Source organism: Homo sapiens, chromosome 5 (genome assembly GCF_000001405.40).
Source record: "Homo sapiens chromosome 5, GRCh38.p14 Primary Assembly".
NCBI classification, from domain to species: Eukaryota; Metazoa; Chordata; class Mammalia; order Primates; family Hominidae; genus Homo; species Homo sapiens.
The window spans coordinates 133563406-133582680 of record NC_000005.10 but is presented as its reverse complement, the minus strand read 5'-3'; the positions used below and the strand labels follow the sequence as shown (position 1 = coordinate 133582680).

The window sequence follows — 19275 nt, the reverse complement described above, 5'->3', positions numbered from 1 at the left end:
GGTGTGAGGGAGCAGTGTTGACAGGGGTTGGCCATGGCCCATGGGTTGACACTGTACCAACAGATGCCTTTCCCCCAACCTGTGTCTCCCAGCTGTTGCCTACTGACCACAGTAGAACTAGTGGACCCCTCCCCACTCCAGAGTCTCAGAAACAATGATGAGCACTTCTTTCAGGCTGGGTGCTATGCTGATTGCTGGGGGCACAACCAGGATGCTGTTTGTGGGTGGAAATTGGCAAGTGGACAGCAGCTACCAGATACTGAGTGCTCTTTGCCCTCCTCTCTCAGCTCTCACTGCAGTCTCATAGACACTACCCTACCTCATTTTGCAGATGAGGAAACTGAAGCTCCTGGAGGTTAATGCCATGTATATGGTGACCCAGTGCCGGGGGTCTGGGGTGCAGGTGAGCCCCTTTGTGTCTCGTGCACTGCAAGCCCAGTGGCCCCATTCTCCATGTCACCAGGAGGCTTCTCAGTCCTGGCTGCTTGAGCCTACTCTTCCCACCTGCATCCAGTGAGTTCTGGATACTGAGCTGGCATCGGTCCTCATGGAAGGCGAGTGTGGGCCTGCCCAAGCCATCCTCTGGCTCCACTGACTTGCTGGGAAGAGAAACTGGCACCACTGTTTACATTAGTTTCTGTGCCTGTGACACCCAGCTGATACCCTCTGTTACGAAGGGACACCCTTCCCCATATGTGGGAGTAACAGGGCACCCTCATTGGAGAACCCTGCCAGCCCACTGGCACCTGCAGAGGTTTGTCTGAGGCAGCTGGGCACCATGGTGCAGAGCACTGGCCAGGCCCACTGGGGCAAGAGTTTGTAAGGTGTTAAGATGCATGATTAACCCAGTGGTTCCCAAACTTGTCCATACATTAGAACCACTGGGGTGGCTTCAAAAAATGCTGATGCCTGTGTCCCACCCCCAGAGATTGTGATTTAATTGGTTTAGGGTATGGCCTATACTCTGGATTATTTAAATGTCCCCATTTGAGAACTGCTGGGTTAGCCTATGAGAGAAGTGTGGGCAAAATGCCCACTTCTGTCCTCATTGTCTTTCTCAGCACCTACTCCTCAAGGGAAATAACTGATTCAGGCTGCAGGGGACAAAGCTTCCCTGTGCCTTTGCCCAGGCACAAGGCCCCTCCTGGGAGGTGTGGGTGGCTAAGGCTGGCGTGATTCCTGATGTGGCACGTGTGGGGCAGGTATTTCTCTACTTGAGGAGTGACATTGCATGCCGTCTGCATGCTCCCTCATTCCTTTCTCACGACAATCTTATAGGTAGCACCTTTCAATCTCCTCTTCAGACGAGGAAACTGAAGTTCATGGTGCATCCTACGTGAGGAACAGAAAGAGGACAGGGAATAAAACTGGATTTTCCTTGGGATTCTCAGATGGGCCAGGTCCTAAGTAAACACCAATCTAGCTCTGCTGACCACTGGGGGCCTTTCTTCCTTTTGACTCTGTTGTAAAAGAAAATTGAAAAACGGTCTTATTGTGCCTTAAAGCCTTTTTAATTAAATATAACTCATTTAATTTAAACTACTTTAAGTTCCATTTTTAATATAAGTGTTATAGTGGTACAATGAAAGTGCCTTCTAATCAAAGTGTGTATGGGGATTTACCTCCCTGTACAAAAAGCCTGTGGGAGCCCAAACCAATGATTTATTCAGACAGCAATCCAAAATCACCAGACCCTGAGTGAGGCACACATGGTGGAGGTTCATGAGTGTGGGTAGGAGTCGGAAGTTCCTCTGGGGGCTGTGCAGATTGAAGGAGGCGGGTGTGGAGAGGGCTTAGCATGGAGCCTGGCGTGGGTAATTGCTTAGTAAATGGAAGCTGCTACTGGGATGCTACTGCCATCCCTAGGACCTCCGCTGCTTCCCCTGCTAGTTCTTACTGCTGGTGCCACAGCTACAAAGTAGGGAGATGACAGTGAAGAGAGAGGCTCCCCTGGTGGGCAGGAAGGATTGAACAGTCCTGAGCAGACAAACGTGCTCAGATTGGGTATTGAAGTAGAGACCTACTCCAGTGCCAGCCCCCAGGAGGGGCACGGCCTGACCGCCTGATGTCACACAGCAAATCCTTTCCCCTGTGGCAGTCTATCCCCCTTCCTTGTTTCATTTTGCACCGTGGCACTTCTTAGCATGAGATATTCTCTACATTTCCTTTGTTTGTGTGTTTGTTTGTTGCCCGTTTCTTCCAGTGAGATCCTAAGCTTCATAAGGACTGGGGCTGGGGCTGCCTTGGCACTGCTACATCTCCAGGACAATAAATATCTACTGAATGAGTGAACACATGAACAAACGAAGGGATGATGAAATGAATTGCTCAGGAGGCCCGTCAAGAGCTCTGCTGAGAGACCTGGGTGATGGGGCTGAGGGTCTTGGGGAGGGTCAAGGAGGTGGGAATTGCAAGCTAGGACCTGATGGGAAGGCATCCACAAAGCTGAGCCACAGAGGCTGTGAGGGATGGGAGTGGAAGTGAAGAGGGGCCAGAGGAGATGCTCAGGAGGACAGAGGGAACACTAGCTAGCAGGAAGATCCAAGGGGAGGGGACCTATTGCTGTGTCAGATGACAGTTTCTGGTTGGAAGTCTTGGATTAAGGGATCTTCAAGTGTCCCTTTGGAGAAGAGGGTGTGCCTGACCTTAAGCACTGGCCACTTTGGGTGTTTTCAGCTTATCCCAATCAGACGCCACTTGCACCCAGTCCTGCTCCCAGCCGGCCCTTTCCCAGCTTGCTCACCTTCTCAGAGGCTCCAGCCTGATCAATCACCGCTGGCCCCACCATGACTCTGGCACATTTTGCATCTTTATGTCAGACCGTCTGTATCTGTGACTCCCTAATTCTGTGCAAAACAAAGAATGAAAAATAGACTCAGACATGAGGACTGTACTGGAGGGCACACTTTCTTCCTTTTTTGTCTTTTAATTTTCTAGGCACAGGTTATTCTAAACCTCATCTTGGGCTTGCAGTTGGCAGAAAGAAAAGTAGCAGATTGGAATATCATGTTAAACAGGTGGATGTTAAGTTGTATCATTTATTGGATGGTTCCTGGAGGGTGTAATAAATAATTTAAACATGAACTCCTTCCCCCTTTCCTCTCAAGAGCCACTTGTCCTTGCTGTCCTCTCTCCTCCCCCAGACACCTACAAGACTGTCATGATTTTCTTATGGATCATGGACTGCTGGAATGAAGTCAGTGCAGGAAAGAAGCTTGTTCGATCGACAGCTGGTAGACATGAAGCGTCTCAGAATGAGGAACGCATCACAGGCTGTCCCTGTGTTTCTGTAGAAACTTTACCTACAAAAGGAAAAATAGAGCACGTCAGGCTTCAGTGACAGTCAGTATGTTCCGTGAGCCAGCTGGGAAACTGCACTCACCTCCATATTCTTACCAGGAGATCTTGGGATAATCTGATTTCATTCTAGCAATAGAATGTGTTTAGGGCCTACGCTACGCCAGGCGCTGTGCTGCAGTAAGACATGAAGGAGACGTGGACCCTGGGGGAGATGGACACCCCTCTTGTAGTTAAAGTCCAGTATGACCATTGCTTTTGGGGTTAAGCAGCTCTGCAGATAATGCCTGTGTTAGGCTGAGCCCTGCTAGTGTCAGTGGAAATAGCAATGACATGTTAATGAGGTTGTTCCTCAGGGTGCTGAGTTAGAGCCCCATGCTGCTAACTGTTGTGATGGTCTTGGACGTGGTGATTGCTCATTCTGAGAGATGTGGATTACTTTCCAAATCAAAAAGTTAATTAGTTTTTAATTTGTTGGGTTGTCTGAGAGATACAACTGGAAAATTCCCCTCTTGCCTTCTTGGTCCCTTAATCTGGCTGTGTGCAGGCGATTATGTTTAACAAGGAGCAGTGATCAATCAGTTATTGACATTTATTTCATCAAATGTAACTGAATGTTTACTCATATTGGTGGATTTGCTACCAAAGACTGTCTTAAATTCAGGGCTAACTTTTCTTTTTAAATTGTAAATGAATAACCTTTAGCATAAAGCTTTAAATGATATCTAGAATTTAAAATCACTAAATCCTCATATAATATTTCCAAATCATCTTAATTTCTGAAGATGGGCACCTATCCTTTTGCTTTCTTTTCTGTCTAGTGTCTGGTAATCACCATTAATTCCATTTCTTTTTAGAGTATCACAGCTTTCTCCTTCACTGACCACCCTTTGCTTCCTGTCAGAAAGCCCTGGACAGAACTCTCTGTGGGATTCTGCCCATGTTTCTGAGATATCGCCTCAATTGTCCTGGCTGGGCTGTCGGGTCTGCCCGTTTTACAGATGGGCAAACTGGAGTGGGAAGTATCCGGGTGGCTTCCTCAGGCCTGCAGCTGGTGGAGCAGCTACTGAAACAATCAGGTGATTCAGATCTACTGGAGGCTTTGCCCTCATGGGCATAATAAAGTTGGTATTCCCAGGTCTGCCCACAAGAAGCTATTGATGGGTTTATCATGTTGATTCTTTTTTAAATTAGTAAAGTAAAAGAGTACCTTAATAGTAAAGACATTTCCTTGGTATTTTTAAAAAGTCATGTGACATGATCTCTTCCTTTTGTCTTGATAAACCTCCCTTTAAACTCTCTGGCTTAGTTATTTTAGACTTCCCAGCCTCATGTAATACTGGTTTCCTTACATTGATCCATTTATTGTCATTTATTGTAAGATAGGCAATAGAGGGGACATCGAGCTTGCTTGCTGTGCTATCTCTGTTTCAGCCCCAAAGTGCTGGAGACTTGCACTGTTTTGTTTGTTTGTTTGTTTGTTTTGAGACAGAGTCTTACGCTATCACCCAGGTTGGAGTGCAGTGGCGCTCCATTGCAGCCTCTACCTCCCTGGGCTCAGGTGATCCTCCCACCTCAGCCTCACAAGTATCTGGGACTACAGGTAGGCACCACCATGCCCAGCTAATTTTCATATTTTTTTGTAGAGAGGGGGGTTTCACTATGTTGCCCAGGCTGGTCTCGAACTCGTGGGCTCAAAGGAGACTTGCACATTCTTTGCCTATATGGCCATGCCCAGCCCTCTCCCCTTCACATCTGGTCTTCTGGGAAGATGAGAAAGGCAAGCTCAGCCTCTGCTGATTGGGCAACTCCTAGGCAGGGCTGGCTGAAAGGTGCAGGGACCCCTGGCCTTTATCAAACTCCCTCAGCTATCTAAGCCCCTAAAGGTTTAGTGTTGGCAGCTGTGCCTCCCCCACCTTTGACTGTTCTTTAAGGCAGTAAGCCCATCTACCAGGGCTACACACACCTCTCTCTAACCCCAGAGCCATCTGACACTGTTCTCTGTGGTGCAGGAGGGGAACACTGACCCCTCGATTAAGTGGCATTTCTCAAGAGCCAGCACCCCTTCGGTGTTTTTCATGAGCACTTGCAGCAAGCTCTGCATAACTGGAGGAAGCAGGGGGTGTTTAGACCCTCCCCCAGAATATCCTGTTCTTTGCTGGATTATTCAGCTTGGCTTTCAAACTAGCCCCGGGTTTAGGGTTAATTCTCTCACCTTCTCTGGCTTTGAAGACCCAGACATGGTGTGCTGAGAAATCCAACAACTCAATAGTTTTCCTTCTGCCTTTAACTCAGCCATATAAATGAGATAAAGTGTGCAAAACTCTTACTGTGTGCACAGTAAGTGGGAGCCAGCAGTGGAATACATGCTACATAAGGCGCCACTTTATTTAGCTGTATTTTGTCAGTCCAAGTGAAGATTTTAATTGCAGAATAGTGTCTTGCTAGCAAAAATGAACCTGCTTAGAGTCAAGTTTTTAAAATTCAAGTGAATAAATGAAAAATTGTAAGAAAGATTGTTAAAGAAGCATTCATTTTAAGAACATCTCAGATATGAAAAACTTAGAACTTAGATGTCAGAATTTCAGTAGCGATGAATCCCATGGCAAAGCTTCCATCTCATCTGTACTAATTGGTTCATAAATTGGACACGTGGGCTTCCTTTTGTGTGTCTTCAGGAAGTTGAGGCCTGAGGAACTCTGAAGCCAGGAGCTTCCTCAGCCCCTCTGCTGCTGGATGGAGGTGCTGCCAGTCAGGGGCCCATCTTCAGGACACTGGCACAGGGACCTCCTCAGGCCGGGCCCCTTGTACAGCGGACTCCTTTCTGCTTTGTCTATGAAGATCTGGCCACGTTGAGCTCCACTCCATTCTGCTTTGTCTACGAAGATCTGGTCACATGGAGCTCCACTCCATTTACTTTTTCGTTGCATTCTCTTCTCAGTGTGGTTGCTTTTGATCCCCCACTTTCGTAACCCACATAGCCAATATTTTCCCAGTGAATCCCATAATATTCTGGGTGACAGACTGAGGCTTACTCCCTAACCAAAGACCTCTGAGAGCACAGATGGAGAGGCGTGACTATGATCTGGGGCAGGGCCTCACCATCCTTTTCCAGAGCCTCACCCCCTGTGCCCAAGATGGACATGGGATGGACCTAGGGGTAGAATTTGAGAGTGCTCATTTATACTCTTTCAGCAGCCTTCAAACTGTTTTTTGGTAGCTGAGAAACTGTAATCGGCTTTTGGATTATGAAAAATATTGCTCAGCACTCATATTATATTGATTCAAAAATAAGGATTGTGTAGTTTAACTGCATAGTAAAATACAGCTTTATAGAATGGTAATTTTTTATTTAAGTTCTTCTACATTATAGTGAGAGATAACGGATTCAGGAAGGGCACAATGAGGAATAAAGCTGTTGTATTGTATTGGTTAAATGACATTTTAAATGATTTGGCTGTCAAACTCGTAGAAAGGTTATGAGCAGTGAATGAAAAATCTAAAATTAATTCCCTGCTTCAAGAAAGTGTGATTTATACTATAATAAAATTAGATTTTTAGTTAAAGAAATTTAGTCATTAAGTAATGCCCATGCACTAAGTCTCATTTATAACCATCTGGTTTGAAGCTTCTGCAGAAAATAATTTCTTCCTTAGACAATGCATCCAGGGCCTTGGTGTCATTATGTCAATGAATTTCACTCCTTACATTTCTGCTACAGCTTTTGAGGGGTTGCTTTTTTAAGCACTGGAAAGATGGATTCTTATTTAGCCTCAATAATTGAGGAAGCCGTTGAACTCATTTACCTCCCAAAAATAATCTGATCGTCTCCCTCTCTTAGCTCTTTTCATGAATGGTAATGTTGTTGATGATGGTGGCACATGTTGGAGGACTGCCTGTGTGCTGGACACCATGCTAAGCATGGGACAAGCTTATTATTTCATTTGATCATCACAACTACTCTATGTGGAATGTGCTATTTCTGCCTTTACAGATCAACAAACAGAGACTAAGGAAATGTTAAATAATTCAACAAAGGTGACAGAGGCACAGCTGGCCCCCACTCTTAATCCCTGTCATATTTTTCACGAATGTGTGTTGAGCATTTCCTTGGAGGAAGTAGAGTATAGTGGTAGGACCTCAGAGGTTTGAGTCTAGTCCTGATGTGGCCACTTCTCATGTGAAATTCAGCAAGTTGCAGTCTTTCCCTCAGTACATCTTTCTTCATCTGTAAATTAAAAGTGGGGTTTGTTCCCTCTATTTAACAAACTTCTGATTACTCCTGGGTAATTTGTCTTATTTTAAAAATTTTTACTGGAGCATATCAAATATATAGTAAAGACACATATTCTGAGTGTAGCACTTGGTTAATATTTTGTAAGTGAACATATCTATGTGACCACCACCAAGATGATAATATAGAACATTTCCAGCATCCCACAAACCATTCTGTGTCCCCCGGTCATTATCCTCGCAAAGGTTACTACTCATCTGTCATCAGAGATTGGTTTTGCTTGTTTCTGAGATTTATAAAAATAAAATCTTATAAACTGTACTATTTGTTTCTGCTTTCTTTCCCTCAGCGCTATGACAATGAGATTCAGCTACATTATCACATGTTGCAGAGTTTTTTCTTTTGCACTGCAGTGAAGTTTTCCATTGTATGGATATGCCACAGTTTATCTGTTCCACCATTGGTGGACATTTGCATTACATATCATGCTGCATTCAGCCTTCTTATACATGCATTTTGGTGCTCACATGAATGTACTTCTGTTGGACATTTACTTAGGAGTTAAATTGTTGGGTCAGGAACATAGATGTCACAATAGTTATTTTAACATAATTTAATTACAGGAAATTGGTTAAACAGATATTAAAGGATTAAGAAGGTGGAAAAGGAAACACTGCAATAGTTAAGAGCAGTACCTGCAGGAAGGAATACCTTTATCACTACTGTCTCCAGGGGAGGAGCCTCTCCATACTGGGACTCAGACCAATGAGGAAAGTTTTGCTGGTGCTGGTTCCTCTGAGGGTATAAAAATTATAGTTCCTTCATATCCTTGTAAACATTTACTATTAACAGTTTTTTAATGTCATCTATTATATGTGGTTTATAGCAGTATCCCACTGTGGTTTCAACTTGTGAAGTGCCTATTCAAATGTTTTACTCATTCTTCAATTAGGTTATTTGTATTTTTCTTATTGATTTGCAAAAGTATTTTATATATTCTCAATAAGTCATTCGTAAGATATATGGATTGCAAATATATTTCCTTAATGGCTTCCCTTTTCATTGTCTTGATCCTATCTTTTAATAAACAGAAGTCCTAATTTTAATAAAGTCTGAGATATTCTTTTGGTTTGCTTTTCACATCCTCTTTAAGAAATTTTCACCTATGTATTTAAAGTCATGAAGATACTCTTGATATCTTATAGAGACTTAGTTGCATTACTTTTCACATGTAGTTCTACAATCCATCAGGAAATGATTTTTATGTATGTTCTAAGATACGTCCAACATTTTTTCCATGAGGTTGCCATGATGTGTTTAAACTTGCTTATGGCTCAGCATACGGCCAATTTTTATAAATCTCGAATGGACACTTGAAATGAAGTGCTATTTGGTACAGTGTTTGATGTCTGTCAATTAGGTCAAGTTTTAAAATTATAGTGTTCAACTCTTCTATATCCTTACTGATGCTTTTTTCCTCTACTTGTTCTATCAGTTAAAGACAGAGATTTTTTAAATTTTCCAACCATTATTGTGGGTTAAAAAAATTCTCCTCTTAGTTCTTTGAGTTCTGGCTTTGCATATATTTAGACTATGCTACTAGGTATGTACAAGTTTAGAATTGCTATATATTCCTGTTAAGTTGTTCCTTTTCTAATTATGAACCATCCCTTTTTATCACTGATAATAATTCTTGCCTACTTTATCTATAGCCATGTTTTCTTGGTTGAAGTTAATATGGTTTATCATTTAAATTCTTTACATTCAGCCTTTTTGTAAACATATATTTATGATATGTCTCTTGTAGGCAGCATATAGTTGGATATTGTTTTCTCTATTATGCCAATCCTTGTGTGTTTTATTTTTTATTTATTTTTTTTGTTTTGTTTTGTTTTTGTTTTTTTTTGAGACAGAGCCTTACTCTGTCTCCCAGGCTGGAGTGCAGTGGCGCAATCTGGGCTTACTACAAGCTCTGCCTCCCGGGTTCACGCCATTCTTCTGCCTCAGCCTCCCAAGTAGCTAGGACTGCAGGTGCCCACCACCATGCCTGTCTAATTTTTTGTATTTTTAGTAGAGATAGGGTTACACTGTGTTAGCCAGGATGGTCTCGATCTCCTGACCTCGTGATCCACCTGCCTCAGCCTCCCAAAGTGCTGGGATTACATGCATGAGTCACCTCGCCCAGCCCAATCCTTGTGTTTTAATGGGATTATTCAGCCAATTTATAGTTAAATAGGTTTAAATATAAACCCATGTTTTCTCTGTTCTATATTCCTTTTCTCTTCTGCCTTTCATGTCTTCTTTTGGATGAGACAGTTTTGGTTACTTCATTCCTTTGGTGTCATAGCACTAATTTTGCCATTTTTGGGACAGTACTAGGACATTATAACACTTTAATCTCATTTGACCTCCTGATCTTTTTTAAAAAAATCATATTACTATGTATTTTAGTTCTACAAATATTTTTATCTTACAGTGCATTATTGTTGTGTTAAGTAGCCGAAATGTATTTTTATGGTTTTTTTAATGCTTGTTGGTGCTCATTATTTCTTCTTGCATAGCTATACATTCATCTGAATAATTTTCTGCGTTTTTGCCTTAAAAGTTCGCTATAAAGTATTGCTCTTAGTGTTAATTTGTTGGCAATGTATTCTCTCAGGGTTTTTTTGTCTAAATATCTGTATTTTACCTTCATTTATTTTACCTTATGAATACCCATATTTTCATTGGATTCTAATGTTTTTTTCAAATTTTAAAGATGGTGGGTACTATGCTTATTACCTGGGTGAGCTTTACACCAAATCCCCAAGACATGCAGTTTACCTGTATAGCAAATGTGCACATATACCCCTGAACTTCAAATAAAAGTTAAAAAAATTAAAAACTAAAGATGGCATTCCATTGTCTTCTGGTTCCATTATTTCCTACTGAAAAATCAGCTATCCCACTTACTGTTGCTCCCTTATAGGCAATGTTCTCCCCATCTCTACCACCCACCCTTTGGCTGTTTTAAAGATTTTCTATTTGTCTTTGAATATTCAACTATTTTACTGAGTACTTAGGTATGGTTGTGTTTGTATTTATCTTGCTTGGGGCTTGTGGAGATTCCCAAATTTCTGGCTTGATGTCTTTCATTAGTTTTGGAAAAGTATCAACAAGCGTCTCTTTCAGTATTGATTCTGCCCATTTTCTCTGAATTTTCACTCTGAAAATTTAATTACATGCTTGTTAGAACTCTTCATGATGTTACAGTGTCTCATACTTTTTCTGTATTTTTCATTCTTTATCTTTTTTCCTTTCAGATCTTCTGTGTGGTTAATTTTTACTGATCTAGCTTCCATCTTACTATTCCTTTCTTCAGTTGTGTTTAATCTGTTGTTAAATCCACCTATTGAATTTTTCAGTTATTTCATTTTCAGTTATGAAATTTTTGTTTGATTATTTTTTGTTTATTTTTGTTTCAATAGGTTTTTGGAGAACAGGTGGTGTTTGGTTACAGGTTTTTAGTGGTGATTTCGGAGATTTTGGTGCATCCATCACCTGAGCATTTTACAGTGTACCCAATGTGTAGTCTTTTATTCGATTCTAGTTTTATAATGAAATTCAGCATCTTTTCTCCTATTTTCCTAAACATATTAGCCATAGTTATTCTAAAGCTTGTGCCTAAGAATTCTAAGATCTGGATAACATGTGGCTCTGTTTCTGTGGTCTGTTTTCTTGGATTTTAGCCATTCGATCCCATTTCGTGCTATGCCTGGTAATTTTAGACTGGATGCTGGAGATTATATATGAAAAATTGTAAAGCCTGTGGATCACTTTATAGATTTCCACAGAGGATTTATTTTTCCTTGTTAGACAGATAGAGTCCTGGAATATCATCTTTATCTACTCAAGAATAGGAATAATTTGAGAATATATGGTCTTAGCAGTAAGTCTGCTGCATTTGTCAGGGCGACTATTTCTTGGAAAGCCTAATTTTTGTCTCTTTAGTACCATGTACTTTCAAAATCTATACTTAGATTTTATTATTTGAGGCTTTTTTTTTTCTTGTTCAAGGCTACTTTTTAACTTGTTTCTCAGCCTTTTGCCCTTTATGTGTGTAGCTCAGGCATAATCATATAACTCAAGGGGAAGCCGAAAATGTTGAGCTCACTTCTTTCTGGTTTCCTTTTCCAGGGTTTCTGACCCTCATTTTCTGGCTTCTTTGGTAGCCTTGCACTCTGATGTTTATTTCCCATCTCAGAGAGACTTCTCTAAGTTCTAGAATATTATATTCTGTTTGGCTTCTATGCAAAACAGCAAATGTCGCAAAGGGGAAATGTGGCAGTGAATATGGGGCTCATCTCAATGGACTTTTCTCTCATAACTTTCCTTTAAATTCTGGCTGCTTTTGTTGCTGTTGGATGCCTTCAAAAACTTTTTTTTAATTCCACTTTTATAATTGTTGATAGCAGAAGGATTAGTCTCATACAAGCTACTTTTTTATGGCACAAAGAAGAAGTTTATCTCATAAAATTTTCACAATGTCCCTAGGAATTAACTATCATGACTATTTTTAAAGTTGGAATGCTGTGTGCATAGGCATTGGAATCAGACTTTGGGATTTAAATCTTAGCTGGCCACCGACCAAAATATGAGACCTTGGACAAGTTTAACCTCTCCTCCCTTTCAGTCAGTCTCTGAGAAATGAAGTGGAAGAACTGGGAGGCTAAGGCAGGAGAATCACTTGAACCTGGGAGGCAGAGGTTGCAGTGAGTCGAGATCGTGCCACTGCACTCCAGCCGGGGCCACAGTGTGAGACTCTGTCTCAAGAATAAAAAAATTTTAAAATAAGATAATCCTATTTTTATTTAAATTATTTCAGAGTATAATAAAAGGAAAACTTCCAAATTCATTACATAAAGTTGGTTTCATTTTAATTTCTTGTTTTTTGTTTTTTTTTTGAGACGGAGTCTCGCTGTCTCCCAGGCTGGAGTGCAGTGGCGCGATCTCGGCTCACTGCAAGCTCCACCTCCCGGGTTCAGTCCATTCTCCAGCCTCAGACTCCCGAGTAGCTGGGACTACAGGCGCCCACCACCACGCCCGGCTAATTTTTTGTATTTTTAGTAGAGATGGGGTTTCACCGTGTTAGCCAGGATGGTCTCAATCTCCTGACCTCATGATCCGCCCGCCTCAGCCTCCCAAAGTGCTGGGATTACAGGTGAGAGCCACCGCGCCCGGGCAATTTCTAAATCTGATAAGAAAAATATGAGATTGGTAGACCAATCTCATTTATGAATATCAGTACAAAAAATTATAGACCAATAAATGTAAAACATATTTAAAATAATAAACAGAATCCAGCAGCATATTTTTAAAAGTATATTATGACTAAGAAAAGCTTGTTTTAGAAATACAGGGGTAGTGGAATATTATGAGATCTACTATGTAAGTCATCCTATTAATAGAACTAAGGAGAAAAATCATATGATTATCTCCTTAAATGCCAGAGAAAAGTACTTGATAAAATCCAACACATTTATTTTATTTTATTTTTTATTCAACAAATATGTATTGAGCATCTGTTCTGCTACAGCACTGATGATGCAAGAGTGAAAAAGATACTGGCGCCATCCCAACCCACATTCCACTAGAGGGAAACAGTCAATAAACAAATGAGTAAAGGAACAAGCTGTTTTTCAACTAGCACATACATTTATTTTTAAAACTCAGTAAAATGTATATTGGTTTCATTAATATAATAAACATATCTCAGGCTAAAAGCCAGCCTGTCACTTAATGGGGAAATGCTAAAGGTTTTCTTCTGAAAGCAAAAGCCAAGACAAGGGTGCGCAGTATGAACACAACGCCTAACATGGGTTGAGAATTGGTTAAAGCTCTAAGGCAAGAGAAAACACCTGGAAGTATAGGAATTGGAAAGAAGAGATAAGATAATTGCTGTTTGCAAATTACATAAATACTCAAATGGAAACCCCAAAAGAATCAATGGAAAAACTATTACAAACAGTAAAATTTAACCAAGAAGCTGGTTATAAAATAAATATAAAAAATATTTTTAAATTGCCATCAAATATACAAACAAAAATCAGCTGGAAGAAATAATAAGAGAACATCCCATTTATGATAACAAAAGACATACAAAAAAGAAATATTCAAAATACGCACAAGGAAAACTATAAAATACTCTTGAAAGAAGCAAAAGTAGACTCAAACAATTATTAAAATCCTGTGTTATTAGATAAGAACATGCAACATTATATAGATGTCAGCTTTCCCTAAATTAATTTATAAATTTTATGTAACCACAACAAAAATTTCATAGTTTTTTTCTGGAGCTGATTATGAATATCTCCTGTTCCATGAATACTAGTTGTTTCAAGAAACAGAGGTGCCAGGCCTTGGAGCAGGTTACTGAGGAACAGTTTGGGAGGAGCTGGGTTTGTTTTGTGCAAAATACGCTCTGTGGCTTATGTTTCCTGCATTTAACCTGTCATCTCTATGCCGCCTCCTCTGAACCCTTACCTGATGAGTACTCCTTCAGGAACCAGAGTTTGGTTTGTGTGATGGGCTGTTGGCATGTGACATGGATCTTCCACTGATCTCCACCAGGGCTTTTTGCTCAGTAGAAAGGTAGCAGTCAGGGAATGTAATTTGGGTAGGACAACCTTCCCAGTGCCCTCTTAGTTTCATCTCTAATATTGCCTCCCCCTTCTGACAAGAGGATGCTAGACAAGAATGCTAAGGTGTGAAAGACAATGCTATTACCTTAAAAAGCACTGTTGCTGAATTACCTTCTTGGCTGCGGTGTTGAGGTGGTAGTCCCAGTTTGGTGTTTTCTCTTCTCTTCTTTAGTTGCTAGTATGGACTTTCAGCTTATTTTTAACCTTAGGCTTTTTATCCAAAACATGTCGTTTATGATGAATTGGAGATACTTTATATTAGTTATGAAACTGCAATATGCATTTCTAGTCTTTCCCCCCATTAGTTCTCACCAGGACTTTTCATTCTTCTAGAGCTACCCTGAATTTTCATACCACCCAACATTTTCCTATGCTATTCTCTCTTCCTGGTCCACCCTCCCTCCCCCATTTTTGTCTGAAAATCTGCCTGTTCTTCAGTGCTATTTTCAAAGGTTCTTTTAAAAACACTTTTCCTTATGTTTCCAACTGGAATGTGAAATGCTGGTATTTACAAGACAAATCACCCTTTCATTTCTCAGTAATTTGTGTTTGTTCTGTGGCCCCCTAATCAACTGTGAATATCAATGCAGGTACTCAGTTTTACCTGGGTAACTTCTGAAACACTTTGCTTATTGCCCTGCGCATAGTAAGCATCAATAAAGATAGGATTGAATTAAGAAAACCCAAGGGCTTAATTTAGTCCAGTGGCATGAACTGGCTATCCAAATTGTTCATAGGATCTCACCCTTTGGAAACTATAAATTGTGTTTAATCTATTATCAGGTGATGTCAGTGACATATCCAGTAGCAGTGGTGGTCTTCACCATAGCACCACAAAACAGAACCTGCTGCTGGCCAGATAATTTTAGCCCATCTGCTTATGTTTTCTTCAGTCCCTAAAAGCACCTACAGTTCAGGCAGAGGGTGGGTCATCAACCTGGAAGAGGGTCTTCCTTAACACTTGGTACCAGCCCATACTCCAAATAAGGAAGGCCCTGAGAATGAGCTGTGCTCATTAAAAACTTTGTGATTAACAGGATTTTTTTTGCCTAAGCCCTCAAAGCAACAAGTTGTTTACATTTATAGATGTACATGTTGAGAGTTTAGTAGACCAACATTGCTCAGTGTCATGTTCTTCGTAGATTGTTCACCTTTTCATAAATGTGTGACTAACAAGAGAGGAGATATTTGCAAGTATCTGTACATATGAATTATTCTTCAGAAAACACAAAGTCTTTCTTTTCTTGCAGGAGCCCAGAAGCTTTGAAGTCACAAGAAGAGAAGGTAGGAAAAATGCACTCATACCCATTTTATTTTCAGTGTTGACATTTTTGAAGTAGTTTGCTGAAACTAAGATGAACTTCAGACTGTGGGCAGCTCATTCTTTGAAATTTCATGCGGCCTTTTCTGGGTGCTGACTGCTTAGCACTTGTCTGTAGGGACTGCATGGACTGAAGGCCAGGTTTGCTTGTGAAAACTATGACTTCTACCTTCAAGTACCAGAGGTGGGATACTTGAAGAACTGGCTCATTCGCAATCATGTTTTTGGTCTCTTAAGAGAAGCCTCATTCTTGAGTGAAGTTTGGAATAATTATTAGTTTTACCCAGCAAAGCAACGTGAACAACACAAAAAATGGCCTATGGTTTGTGGTATTTCAATATCTGGGAAGAGATGCCACTGTGAAAAATATTTCTGAATAGATTTCTTACAGCTTCAGCTAAGCTGAAATAGAAATAACTAATTAATTTTCCTTTTGAAAACAGTTCCATGATGTTCTGTTTCCCCTGCCAGAGTTCCTGTAGCACATTTGTTTTATGGTCTCTGAGGTAAACATATATGGGTGTTACTTTCAGAAATCTTTTAGTGGAAATTGAAGTTTCCCTTATTCATTTTCAGTAATACCTAGTCTCTAATAAGGGATGCCTTTTGTATGATTTGTGGAATCATTAACAATCATCTTTTTATTACATGGATAGAATGATGAGATCAGAAACGAAAATGAGTTCCTGGTCTAGAATGTGGCTTTGGTTTTACCCTTCACCACATCCTTCTCTGTGGTACTGTCTCCAAAGAGGGAGACAATCTAAAAGAAATTAGCAAATTCTATATTGACTACTAAATCTAACATTGCTTTGCCTCCTGATTAGTTCTTGTGTTATGCAACACAGCAAAAGACATAGAATGGCTATGTTATCAACATGCTTTGATACATGGATATTCATGCCTGGGACCTTGGTAACACAAACTTTTCACACTATATTGAGTCCAGCTGGTAGTGTGCTGCTGTCCATGGTGCTGGATCCCTAGGGTCATAGGATCTGGATAATCTGACTCTAAGATGAACTTTCTGGCTTACATTCCCATTTGCCATTATCTTCGGCTTCGGACTCGATGTCCTCTGAACTATAGGACAATATGTAAAGCAAACTGCATTGTTTGAATATCAAAACCAAATGGATGAAGGTTGATGGAGCTGGGAAGGAGGTTTCTTATGGAAAGTAGTGTTCACAATGGGTACTGTGACCATGTAAGTTGGAAAGAAATAGCCATAAGGAGAGGAGAATTTGACATGAACTTTGGCTTTGAATAATATTCTGTTTATGCCAGAATCCCGACTGTGAATGTTTGGAATTGATTTGCATTGTAAAATCACATATAAACTTAACCTTTTTGGAATCTTACTGTCCTTGTGTTGAAAATGTCTCTAATAAGGCTGGGGTTATAAAAGAGCCATGTATTTCTATTCAAATGCATGAAAAAGGTCTGAGTGAACTTATGACTTCAAACTCCCAGAAGAATGAGAGTGTCCAGAGGAGGAGTGAAGGTGTAGTCAGGCTGCACTCCATTCATCTGTAACCTCTCCACCGCTGGAAGTGTCAGCCTTCGCAAATGGTTGACTTAGGAACATACACTGTGGGTTTGTACTAGCAAATTTGTTCTAACATCACAGAAACTTTTTTCTTCCTATTGTGCACTGATGTCTTTCTTGCTTGTTTCTGTCAAAGTTGAATGTTTGAGAGTTCCTGAAATAGCCCAGTGCTGTAACGTCAATGCTTACAACCTGGCAGGAAGAAAAGGAGTGGGACCTTGCCGGCTGGTTCTAAGTATTTTTAGGTCTGGGAATTCACTGACTCACTGACTTGGGTTGTGGGGTTGTTAATCTTCTCCAGAACAGTGTACAAGTATAAAAAGAATAGAAGCACTATGGTGCTTCAGTAAACTATTTTTCTGTCAAAGAAAAGTAAGATATTGTCTAGCAATGAACACCTGGGTTGGTTCCCAGCTCTGACTCGACCCCGGACTGAAAGAGGAACAGATGAGTAATAGCTGATTTTTCTGCACAGCTTACAAGGCCCAGGAGAGTCTAGAAAGTCTTCAGGTCTAGAGAGGAAGCTTCCAGTCACAGAACCTGAGGAGGTTTCCTGTTTTGGTTTGCCTTATTTCAATACTGTACCTGACTCAGGAGCATCCCCTCCATTGAAGGTTTAGGGCCACAAATGGCTAACCAACTGCAACTTCACATTATGTGACTTTTGGAAACTCTTGACTAAGTATGTGTGTTGAGAAGTGAGAGGGGCTAATGTTAGCAGTGGAAATCGAGTCCAAGCCAAATCATAGTGGGAACTAGCGACAGTAGGGGCAAAGTGAATGCATTGTGTGCCTTAAACCTGTCCTCTGCCCTATTTCCCCCTCTTCCCCTCCAGCCGTAGATGTCATGCTGTCTAGCTTTCTTGCCTCTGGCCTTAGACTATTCCTGCATGCCTTGTCCCTCATCCTTGTCAAATCCACCTCCCCTTCATCCTTTCCAACTCTCTTTCTTGAAGTGTTTAGCTTACCCTATCTAATTGGAGAGGGAAGGGCTCCTATCAGGTTAATTTCCTGAGATCAGAGACCCTCCTGCCTTCTTCATCCCCACATTCCTCACAGCTCTAGCCCAGGGCCAGTAGTTAATCAACAATTGTTTCTTAAAGTAAGTGCAAGCTACACATTTGCTTTGTGGGTGTTGCCTTTTCATTCTGGCCCTTCCCAGTAATATACAAGTGAGGCACTGGGCCCTTTGGTTCTGGAAAGGCACCTTTAAAGAAATGTTCTATGGCTATCATTAGATTTTCCTGGCTGATGCACTGAAGAAAATTCAAGTAAGCTTAGTATTATGGGTTGAATTTTGTTCCCCAAAAAGACATGTCAAAGTCCTAAACCAGAACCTGTGAATGGAACCTTATTTGGAAATAGGGTTTTGGCAGATATAAAGATGAAGTCATAATGGATTAGGGTGGGCCCTAATCCAATAGTGAGGTCCTTACAAGAAAAGGGAGAATTGGACACAGACACACAAGGAGAACATCGTGTGATGATGGAAGCAGAGAATTGCTGGCAAACACCATGAGCTGGCAAGTTGCAAGGGACCCTCCATCCCTAGAACCTTCAGAGAGAGCATAGCCCTGCCAGCCCCTTAATTTTGTACTCCCAGCCTCCAGAACTGGGAGAAAATCCATTTCTCTGGTTTTAAGTCACTTAGTTTGTGGTTTATTATGGTGGCCCTAGGACAGTAATACACTTGGAAAATGTTGGACTCAGTAAACTTTAGTTTTCATTGTTGTTGATGATGATGATATTTTGACTGGAGAATCTCTCATGATTTTTCATAGACAAAATGTCACTCTCAACAGGGAATGTAATATGCAGCATTTTCCAAACTTGGTTTTCTGTGGGATTTAACAAAATTAATTGTGTTGTTTTTAACCATCTCAGGGCAGGCATTCCATGCAGTGCCTTTTGCAAACCCTGCCCTAGAGAGCCCAGGAAGAGGCAGAGCTTCCTCAGAGTGCCCAGGCACCAGACTGTGCTCCATGGGCTGTGCATGTACAGAACAGTGTGACAGCAATAATAAGAATATCTTCTTGGTTGTTCTGATGTTTTCAGAGAATGTTCACGTTCTTTACCTCCCTTTCCCTTGAGTAACCTGTGACACAGAGCAGATAGCACTGCATACATGAGACTCCTTCCTTTTCATGTTAATTTTTAGTAGGGATGAGGAATGCTTCTGGGCTGGTGCCTCTCTG

General features: G+C 41.0%; 1 protein-coding gene and 1 long non-coding RNA gene across 4 annotated transcripts in view, besides 1 other annotated feature; both read left to right on the top strand.

Annotated features, from left to right (window-relative positions):
* FSTL4 (follistatin like 4) overlaps positions 1-19275 on the top strand; it is a 645613-nt gene that overhangs the window by 259387 nt on the left and 366951 nt on the right. For all 3 annotated transcript variants that reach the window (XM_011543283.2, XM_011543284.3, NM_015082.2), the window contains exon 3: positions 15462-15495. In XM_011543283.2, the coding sequence (XP_011541585.1) occupies positions 15462-15495 (34 nt within the window). The remainder of the gene's footprint in view (positions 1-15461; positions 15496-19275) is intronic.
* On the top strand, positions 1934-7852 carry LOC124901066 (uncharacterized). Its single transcript, XR_007058937.1, has 2 exons — positions 1934-3017; positions 3144-7852. It is a non-coding gene; the product is annotated as an uncharacterized LOC124901066 (long non-coding RNA).
* Positions 16376-16576: a silencer, noted in NCBI's record as "peak5467 fragment used in MPRA reporter construct". NCBI's record gives its function as "represses an SCP1 promoter by STARR-seq MPRAs in K562 erythroleukemia cells {active_cell/tissue: K562}" and the evidence as "EXISTENCE:reporter gene assay evidence [ECO:0000049][PMID:32103011]".